Here is an 11,216-nt window from a genome sequence, read left to right on the forward strand (position 1 = left end):
AATCACACACAATACACATACCCCACATACAAACACACATATCACACAACCACACACCTCACACCACATACACACCACATACATCACATACCACACACACCACATATAACCATACACATCACATACATCACACAACTGCATACAACCACACACAATACACAACCACACATATCACATACATCACAGTCACATACACACAACCACACAAAATACACACACCCCCACACAAACACACAACCACACATATCACACAACCACACACACTACACACCACCCATACAACCACACACATCGCATACACACAACCACACAGACCACACACAACCACACACATCATACAACCACACACACAACCACACAACCACACACGACATGCACACCACACATATACCACACAAACCACACAGAACCATACACATCTTATTCATCACACATCAATCACACACTACACACAACCACACACACTACACACACCCTACACACAAATCCAAAACCACACACATCATAAAACCACACATACCACACACCACACAACCACACACATCACATACATACAACACACATATACCACACACACCACATACAACCACACACATCACATAATCGCATACAATAACACACTGCACACAACCATACACAATACACACACTCCACATACCTCACACACAAATTCACAACCACATACGTCACACACACAACCACACACACCACAACCACACACATCACATTCATCATACATCACACAATCACACACAACCACACACCACACACAGTGCACACACCCCACACACACATCACATACACACAACCACACATGCCATACACATCACACAAACCACACACAACACCACACCCCACACACACCACACACACACACACCACATGAACACACAGCATCACAACTGCACACATCACACATACCAAACACATCCACACCACACACATACAACCATATACACCACACACATAATACATACCACATACAACACACACATGTGCACACACATCACAATCACACACACAACTGCACACACACACCACCACTCACAGTTCCCCCTAAACATTGCTCTTCCCCACTCCCCTGCCTTTGCACACGCTGTTCCCTCTGATGGGAAGCCCTTCCGTGGGGCTGTGACACCTCCCACCCCAGGATCAGTGACCCCTGTCTGCCCCACCCCTCCCTGAGATTCCCATGTAACTATGAGGGGGTTCCCAGGCAGCCCGGAAACTGGCACTTTTTCAAAGCTCTCAGGTGATTGTAATGCACAGCAGAGTTGAGAGCAACTGCACTAGACCTGTGCTGTCTCCAGTGGCTGCTGAGCCTTGGAAGCCGGGCTGGTCCCACTGAGACGTGCTGTGAGTGCCGGGTGCATGCCAGACCTCGAAGACGGAGCATGAAGAGAAATGCAAAATATCTCAGTCATATACAAATTAAACTTTGAAATGGTAACATTTTAGATATATTGGGTTAAGTAAAATATATTATGAAAATTAATTTCACCTGTTTCCTTTTGCTTTTTAATGAGGCTATTAGCAAATTTAGAATTGCTGTGTATACCTGGTCCGGGGGCTTGGCGGTGACAAGGTCTCAGGGTGTTCAGGGCTCCAAGGCCATTTGCCAAAATGCTTTGCCTCAGTCTGTCCTGAAAACACAGTGCCTCTGACTGCAGCGTCTCCTTGTCCATCAGAGGATCCCTGCGCTGGGAGGATCCGAAAGGACTGCTCCTTTGTCCCTGGGGTCACTGGGCAGGTCTAGGCCTACCCAGCTGACTGCCGACCACACACATCACACATACCACACACACACAACCACATACATCATACACATGCACACACACGTCACACAGCCCTCGATGGGGGGAGAAGGCAGGTCGCTGGAGCTGATGCCCTGCAAGCCCAAGCCTTGGGACTGGAGCTGAGCCCGGGCTCAGGGCTATGTCCAGATGGTGAAGGAACCTCGGTGGGCAGCAGGGAGGAGGAGGATGGAGTGGGGCCTGACTATCGCCTCTCTATAGTGCCTACAGAGGACCTGAGGCTTGTGAGAGTCAAAGCTGAGAGCAAGGGGCTGCGGCACACAGCAAGGATGGGCTAAGCCCTGGACTGGCTGTGGCCGGAGACAGGTCCAACCTGAATTCCTCACCCTCAGTGTGTCTGCCTCTCCAGGGAGCCCCTCACAAAGGTTCCTTCATTAGATCTTCGCAGCCCCCTCTGAGTTTGGGATTCCTGTCTCCGCATCATAGATGGACCCACTAGGGCCAAGGGTTGGAAAGTGCTCTGTCTGAGAGAAGCGGAAGTTTTCAAACCCAGTCTGGCATATCTTCAAAAGCTGGGGACTTGATCCCCCTTCTTGGCAAAACAGAGTCAAGAACTGGGCCCACTGGGTGATGGGCGATAGGGTCATGGATCCACCCTCTCTAGTTTTCTGTCCATTTGGATGTTTTCACCACAAAAAGGTTTGCAATGCTTTCTCTGGTGGGAAGAAGCTCCCATCCCCAACTCAGAACGTTCTGGACCGGGCTGGATTGAGGGGAGTCGCACTAACCTCAGCCACCAGGGCAGGAACCACAGGGAAGCTAGTGGTTCAGAGACCACCAGCCCTTTCCTCCAGCTCCCGGTCCTCAGCCTGGAGTTGGCCTGAGAGTGGCCCAGGACCAGGCCCCCTGGCAGCCCAAGTGTCCCGACCAGGCCTGGGACACAAAACTCCAGGAGCTGGTACCTTCTCATGTCCTGGTGGGGGGGGGGCATGGCTTCATGGGGGTCCTGACCTCTCACACTAATCCGCAGAGGCAAAGCTGTCCCCAGGCCAGCCAGCACATGGGAGAGACTGTCCCCACGCTGAGCCCCTTCCACCTGGCTGCATCGGGGCCCTTGCAGGCATTGATCTCCCAAAGGCAACGAAAGGGGCCTAATTCTGGCACCCTCTGTACCCTCAGGCTGCCCAGGCTCAGAGTCTGTGCCCGCCCAAGCTCAGAGCCTGCCCTGCAGCTGCAGGGTGACCCTGCTGGGTTGTCCAGGGCGAGGTGCACAGCACTTGTCTGAGGCCTTCTGGGTTCCGAATGAATACCTATGACCCTTTCTTCCTCTCATCTAGATTGAGTCATTTAGTACTCACCTGGTCTACTCGTCTCCATCAGAAGCCCCCCACAAACCCCCTCCCCACCTTTATGTGCTGTCCGGCCTCCAGTGGGTACCTGACCAACATCTAATTAGATGACTGAGTGGAGATGACATGGTATCAGAGTCCCCTCCGTGGGGCCTGCCATGGGTGTTTGGCCCACAGTGCAGTCTCAGACAACAGGGGACAGTGCAATGGGACAATTCAATGCCACCTCTGAGGACATGCTTGGGTGGGCTGTGGCAGAATCAGGGACTTTGTTTTCTTTCAACCCAAAATCCTGTGAGGATGCAATCAAGAAATGGTCACACCTGGGCATGAGGTTTCATTTTTTTTTTTTTCCTAATTTTTAGATTTAGAAATCTATGCATTTAAAGAGCAAACTGTCTAACAAGTTGTTGATGATTGCCACCTGTGACTTTAACAAGCACAGTCCATTCTGTTAATACTTGTTTTGAAAACAGAAATTTGTTCCCATGAGATTGAGTTACAGTATTAGGGAACAATTTGAGCATGATGTGAATTTCACACTTGCTTATGTGCAATGTGGTCTACAAGAAACTCTAGGTGAGCACAGAAAGTTGTACCCAACTGAACCGAGCCAAAATACACCCAGATGGATGCCTCAAATGCCCACAGCTCCGCATCCACCTCGTGTGTTATGAGCTGCATCCATCCACATCTGGTGTTACAGCTCCATGTCTGGTAACACACACGTCCACACACAAACTCCAGGGCTTTTTCAAGATCAAGTGTCATATTTATTGCAATATACATGCTTTTCTTAACCATCAAACGTGCAAAACTCAATGACTATTTTTATTAAGTTCCTATCTTTTTGTTTCTTATGGGCTACTGACAAAATTTTGGAGTGTTGTGCGGTTAACCCCACTTTTCCCATAAGCCCAGTGGTTTTTATTATGTGATTTTTGCATAGAGCACTGGTTTTTTAGGAACACATATATTGTGTTATAGCAGAACTAACTATGCATTCCTAAAATCTTCTTCCTATGCTTTTTTTGTTTTTTCCCTCTTACCAGCATTTTATTTTGAAAAATTTCAGGCCGGACATGGTGGCTCATGCCTATAATCCCAGCACTTTGGGAGACCGAGGTGGGCGAATCATTTGAAGTCAGGAGCTCCAGACCAGCCTGGCCAACATGGTGATACTCCCGTCTCTACTAAAAATACAAAAATTATCTGGGCGTGGTGGTGGGCGCCTGTAATCCCAGCTACTCAGGAGGCTGAGGCAGGAAAATTTGTTGAACCCGGGGAGCAGAGGTTGCAGTGAGCTGTGATCACACCATTGCACTACACACTGGGTGACAGAACAAGACTGTCTCAAAAAAAGGAAAAAGAAAAATTTCAGGTCTGTGATCAACACTATTTCCCTTCACTTACATTCATCAAATCCATCTATTGTTAGCGTACTGTGATTTAAGCCTTTCATTCTCACCAATGTTTTGTAGTTTTCAGTCTACAAGTCCTACACATATTTGTCAGATTTATCTCCAAGTATTTCACATTTTTTGATGCGATTGTAAATGAGGGTTTTTTTTTTCACCGAGCTTTTTAACTGTAGAGTCATGATTCACAAGCAGTTGTAAGCAATGATACAGAGAGGCCCACTGTACCCTGTACCCAGTTTTCCCCAGTGTAACATCTTGCAACACTGTATGACCACATCACAACCAGGGTGTTGACATGGATACAGTCAGGATACAGAGTGCTCCGTCACCGCGGGATCCCTCCCGCAGCGCTTTTACAGCCACATCTGCTTAACCCCTGGCAACCACTAATGTGCTCTCCATTTCTAAAATTTTGTTTCAAGAGTGTTACATCAATGGAATCACACAAAGATAGCTTTCTGAGATTGTCTGTTTTCACTCAGCAGAATGACCTGGAGATCCATCCGCATTCTGAGACAACAGTTCCTTCCTTTTGACTACTGAGCAGCATTTTGGGGCATGGATGTACCATGCTGGTCTAACCTTTAACTATCCAGCTATTGAAGGACAACTAGGCTGTTTCCAGTCTTTCTGGGGATGGTTTTAGCTCAGTCTTGAGCACTCTATTCCCCTGTTCTCTCTCCTATGCAGTTTTTCTCTTTGTTGTTGTTTTTTTGTTTTGTTTTGTTTTGTTTTTTGAAACAGAGTCTCGCTCTGTCGCCCAGACTGGAGTGCAGTGACGCCATCTCAGCTCACTGAAACCTCAGCCCCTGGGGTTCAAGCAATCCTCCTGCCTCAGCCACCCTAGTAGCTGGGATTATAGGCGGGCGCTACGACGCCTGACTATTTTTTGTATTTTTAGCAGAGACGGGGTTTCTCCATGTTGTCGAGGCTAGTCTCCAACTCCTGACCTCAGGTGATCCATGCACCTCCCATGCAGTTTTATCCAGGCTCTGCCTTACTCGGTGACAAGGTTTGGGGCAGAAACTTCAGAAAGAGCTCCACTGGTAATGGTTGCTTATTTTTATTCTCTTGGGTAATTGGAAGATTATAGTGTTCTGTGTCTTCTAGTTATGTTGCAGGTGTGAGTATTGTATGGTTTTATTTGTTCTTCCTGTTGATCTGTATAATTACATACTTTGCTTTCTGAAAAGTATATTAAGATATAAGTGTATGATAAAATTTACTCTTTTTAGTGTACAATTCTATGAGTTTTGACAAACGCAACCATGTTACCATCACAGTAAAAATATAGGACACTTTCACTCCCCAAATCCATCTGAGCCTCTTTGTAGTCAGCCTTTCCCTTACTCTCCAGCCCTTGGCAAGCTCTCCTTTATTTCCTATCCCAATAGTTTTCCCTTTTCCAGAATTCACACAGATGGAATAATTCAGATACGCAGCTGTTGAGTCTGGCTTCTTTCACGTAGCAGAATGCATTTGAGATTTATCCATCATATATATATATATATATATATATATATATATATATATATATATAATTAGTTCATTGTTTTTTATTGATAAGCATTCTATTACATAAATATACCAGAGTTTGTTCAAGGGCTTTGGGGTTGTTTACAGGTTTCGGTGATAATAAATAAAGCTACTGTAAACATTGGTGGATAGGCTTGTGTGCAAACATAATTTTTCACTTCTCTTGGGTAAGTACCTAGCAGTATGTTTGGTAAGTCATGTGGTAAATATTTGTTTGACTTTATAAGAAGCTTCCACAGAGTTTGACAAAGTGGTGATCCCATCTTGTATTCCTACCAGCAGTGTACAAGAGTTCTTAGTTGGTACTGAGAACCCTCAAGGCAGTTGGTACTGTTAGGGTTTTTTTAAGCCACTCCATTTTGTATGCATTGGTCTGATCTTATGGTTTTAATTTGCATTTCCCTGATAACTAAGCATGTTGGGCATTTTTTCACATAACTATTGGCCAGTCATATACCTCCTTTGATGAAGCATCTGTTCAAATATTTTCCCATTTTTAAATTGGGTTGCTTGTTTTCTTATTGTTAAGTTTTGAGAGATCTTCATATATCCTTAATACAAGTTATTTATCAGATATGTGTTTTGAAAATATTTTCTTCCACTCTATGGTTTGTCTTTTCATTTCCTTAACTGTGTCTTTCAAATAGTAGAAGTTTTGGATTTTGTTTTTCAGACAGGGTCTTGGTCAGTTGCCCAGGCTGGAGTACAGTGGCACAATCATGGCTCACTGCAGCCTTGACCTCTTGGACTCAAGTGATCCTCCCACCTCAGCCTCCTGCCTCAGCCACCTACGTTGCTAGGACTGCAAGCACATGCCACCACACAAGGTTAATTTTTTTATTTTTTATTTTTATAAGGATAGGGTCTCTCTATGTTGCCTAGGCTGGTCTCAAACTCCTGGGCTCAAGCAATCCTCCTGCCTTGGCCTCCCCAAGTGCTGGAATTACAGGCGTAAGCCACTGTGCCCAGCTTAGAAGTTTCTAATTTTAAAGACAGCCAGTTTAAACCTACAGAATGGGAGAAAATTTTTGCAATCTACTCATCTGACAAAGGGCTAATATCCAGAATCTATAAAGAACTCAAACAAATTTACAAGAAAAAAACAACCCCATCAAAAAGTGGGCAAAGGATATGAACAGACACTTCTCAAAAAAAGACATTTATGCAGCCAACAGACACATGAAAAAATGCTCATCATCACTGGCCATCAGAGAAATGCAAATCAAAACCACCACACCAGTTAGAATGGCGATCATTAAAAAGTCAGGAAACAACAGGTGCTGGAGAGGTTGTGGAGAAATAGGAACACTTTTACACTGTTGGTGGGACTGTAAACTGGTTCAACCATTGTGGAAGACAGTGTGGCGATTCCTCAGGGATCTAGAACTAGAATTACCATTTGACCCAGCCATCCCATTACTGGCTATATACCCAAAGAATTAGAAATCATGCTGCTATAAAGACACATGCACACGTATGTTTACTGCGGCACTACTCACAATAGCAAAGACTTGGAACCAACCCAAATGTCCAACAATGATAGACTGGATTAAGAAAATGTGGCACATATACACCATGGAATGCTATGCAGCCATAAAAAATGATGAGTTCATGTCCTTTGTAGGGACATGGATGAAGCTGGAAACCATCATTCTCAGCAAACAATCGCAAGGACAAAAAACCAAACATCGCATGTTCTCACTCGTAGGTGGGAACTGAACAATGAGAACACTTGGACACAGGAAGGGGGACGTCACACACCAGGGCCTGTTGTGGGATGAGGTAGGGGAGGGATAGCATTAGGAGATATATCTAATGTAAATGACGAGTTAATGGGTGCAGCACATCAACATGGCACATGTATACATATGTAACTAACCTGCACATTGTGCTCATGTACCCTAGAACTTAAAGTATAATAATAATTAAAAAAAAAAAGATAGCCAGTTTATTCACTTTTCTCTTGTAGGCCATGCTTTTGTGTCACATCTAAGAGATATTTGCCCAACCCTGGTCACACATTTTCTTCTTTGTTTGTATCTGTTAGTTTTCAATTTTACATTTAGGCCTGTGATCCATTTTGGGTTCATTTTTATATATGCTGCGAAGTATGAATCAAGATAAATCTTTTTTGTATATGACAGATGATTAAGTAAAGAAAATATATTTTATAGATGTGTGTGTGTGTGTGTACACATACACCGTGGAATACTATTCAGCCATAAGAAAGAATGAAATAATGGCTTTTGCACCAACATGGATGGAACTGGAGGCCATTACCTTAAGGCAATAACTCAGAAGCAGAAAGTCAAATACTGCTTGTCCTCACTTACAAGTGAGAGCTAAATAATGTGTGTACATGGACATACGGCATGGCATAATAGACAGTGGAGACTCAGAAGGGCAGCAGGGTGGGAGCAGGGCGAGGGATGAGAAGTTACTTACAGGGTTCAGTGCACTCTGTTCGGGTCATGGCCACCCTAAAAGCCAAGACTTCACACTATGCAATACATCCATGTACCAAAAGTGCACTTGGACCCCCTAAATTTATACAAAGAAAACAAATAAATAGGCTGGGCGTGGTAGCTCATGCCTGTAATCTCAGCGCTTTGGGAGGCCAAGGTGGGCGGATCACTTGAGGTCAAGAGTTTGAGACCAGCCTGGCCAACATGGTGTAATCCTGTCTCTACTAAAAGTACAAAAATTAGCCAGGCGTGGTGGTGCACGCCTATAATCCCAGCTACTTGGGAGGCTGAGGCAGGAGAATTGCTTGAACCTGGGAGGCGGAGGTTGCAGTGAGCAGAGATTGCGCCACTGCACTCCAGTCTGGGCAACAGAACAAGACATGCCTCAAAATAAATAAATAAATAAATAAATAAATAAATAAGTTGTTTGCATATGGGTATTCTATTTTTCTAGCACCATTTGTTAGCAAGATTATCTTCATTGAATTGCTTTTGCATCTTTGTTGAAAATCAATTGGCTGTGCATGTGTGGATCTGCTTCCGAATTTTCTATTCTGTTCCATTGATCTATGTCTATTCTTTACCAATACCACACTTAGTTGATTACTGTAGCTTTATAGTACATCTTAAAATCAGGCAATGTGTCTGCTGTTAGTTCCTCACCCCTGGCTGGTGGCTGTTTCACCTTTTAAAAGTCTGTGTCCCACAGTGACTCAGGCCCTCCTGAGGGCCAAGTTCTAGGCATTCAGCCTGGCAGAGACTTAAGACAAGACCACAGCCCTTTGCCCCTTTAACTAAGCATTGCCTGGGAGCCTTGCATTTCCCATCCTAGATATAAGCAATGTGGGAAGACAGACATGAGAGAGACAGTGCCCCTATCATTGGGAAGCTCACAATGGAGTAAAGGAGAAAAGATGAGTACTAAATAAGTCTTAAGAAAGAACGAAGAAAAGTGCCATAAACATTCTGCACCAAGGACTCAGAAGCTGTGGGAGGTGCTGTGTCCATCCTCCCTGCCTGTGCCTCCTGCTTCACGTCGGCTGCCTACCACTGTCAGTGCTGCATGGGGCCCAGGCCTGCGGATGCAAAGTTTCTTTCTCAATCTCTCTCTCTTTCTCTCTCTTCACTGTCTCTCTGCCTCTCTTTCTTCTGTTCCCCTCTCTCTCTCCTCTGTCTCTTTCTCTCCTCTGTCTCTCTGTTCTCTCTCTCTCTCTCCTCTCTCTCTCCCCTTTGTCTCTCCTTGTCTCTCTCTTTGTGTCTTTCTCTCTCTCTCTCTCCCTGCCCCACATCTCACTCATGCTGAGTCAAATCGCCTCGGCTTTCCCTCCTAGTCCTCCTGTTTCTCCTCTTTCTCCTCCCCATCAAGGGGATATCATGGTCTTTCTATGCACCCTAATTTGATTCAGGTCTCCCCGGGCTAAAACCCATCCAGGAGTGCCTTTAGCAACAGGGCAATGTCTGACTTTTCCCTGATGGTCCATGCTTTCCCCCGGGGCTCTTCCTCACCTCTCCAGCCTTCCTGCTTGGCCCGATGCAACAAAATTGTGCAGGAGCAACTGCTCCCTCTTCCTGAAATGCCTCCCCGCCCCTGCTCAGGTTCCTCCATCAGTCTGGACCTGAGCACCACCCTGACCATAGCACCCTCCACTCTGTAGGTGCTTGCAGGTTTTGATACTGGAGCACAGGCCGGGCGCAGTCACTCAAGCCTGTAATCCCAACACTTTGGGAGGACAAGGTGGGTGGATCACCTGAGGTTAGGAGTTCAAGACCAGCCTGGCCAATGTGGCGAAACTCCGTCTCTAGCAAAAATACAAAAATTAGCCACGCATGGTGGCGGGCACCTGTAATCTCAGCTACTTGGGAGGCTGAGGCAGAATAATCACTTGAACCTGGGAGGCGGAGGTTGCAGTGAGCCAAGGTAGCGCCACTACACTCCAGCCTGGGCAACAGAGTGAGACTCCATCTCAAAAAAAAAAAAGATACTAGGGAGCAAAGGCCACCCTGCCCCTGCCACACAGGAGGTACTCAGCCTCTTGGGACTACTTCCCTGACCCCCAATTCCCCAGGGAAGCTTAGCTGCTCCCACCTCAGGCTCCCATCACAGTTCTCAATCTTCACATTTGTTGGCCGTTGGGGTGTCTGCTCCACCTGAGCTTCAGGAAGACCAGAACAAGGTCTTTTGGCCGGTCTTCGTCAGCACAGGGCACGGCACAGAGTCGGCCTCAGGCATGTTTGCTAGGTGAGTGAATGAATGAATGATACTGGAGTAGTGGGCTTCTGCCTCACCTAGGGGTTCTGTTAAAATGCAGACTCTGATTCGGGGGCTCAGAGTGTGCTGAGATTCTGCCTTTCCATCAACTTGCAGGTGGTGCTGAGTCCCTGGGTACATGGAGGAGCAAAGACATGAACCTTTCCCTGCTCCTGGCAACTGGCTCCATCCTACTCCCTATGGGCTTCATGAACTTGCCTGTGGTTGGGGATACTTCCTGCCCTTATGGGCCCCAGAACCCCTATCTCTTAAAAAGGGAAATTTCCCTGGACATCTCTCAGTTGCTGTCCACCCTGTGAAATGAACCCAGGAAGCTATGGTTAGGTACCCTAGCCCGGTCTGGCCCAAATGCAAGTGTTCTGGCGGTGAACACTTAGCATAGGGTTTGGAGAGTCCCTCTCGGTGATGTGCTAAAGCAACCT

The 11,216-nt window shown here is 46.1% G+C and overlaps 2 annotated features.

Moving 5' to 3' along the window:
• Positions 1,456 to 2,424: an enhancer, noted in NCBI's record as "H3K4me1 hESC enhancer chr10:47021543-47022511 (GRCh37/hg19 assembly coordinates)". NCBI's record gives its function as "activates a minimal SCP1, AML or CMV promoter by ChIP-STARR-seq in naive H9 embryonic stem cells {active_cell/tissue: H9 hESC(naive)}" and the evidence as "EXISTENCE:reporter gene assay evidence [ECO:0000049][PMID:30033119]".
• Positions 10,171 to 10,672: an enhancer, noted in NCBI's record as "H3K4me1 hESC enhancer chr10:47013295-47013796 (GRCh37/hg19 assembly coordinates)". NCBI's record gives its function as "activates a minimal SCP1, AML or CMV promoter by ChIP-STARR-seq in primed H9 embryonic stem cells {active_cell/tissue: H9 hESC(primed)}" and the evidence as "EXISTENCE:reporter gene assay evidence [ECO:0000049][PMID:30033119]".

This window comes from Homo sapiens, chromosome 10, assembly GCF_000001405.40.
Source record: "Homo sapiens chromosome 10, GRCh38.p14 Primary Assembly".
Taxonomy (NCBI): domain Eukaryota; kingdom Metazoa; phylum Chordata; class Mammalia; order Primates; family Hominidae; genus Homo; species Homo sapiens.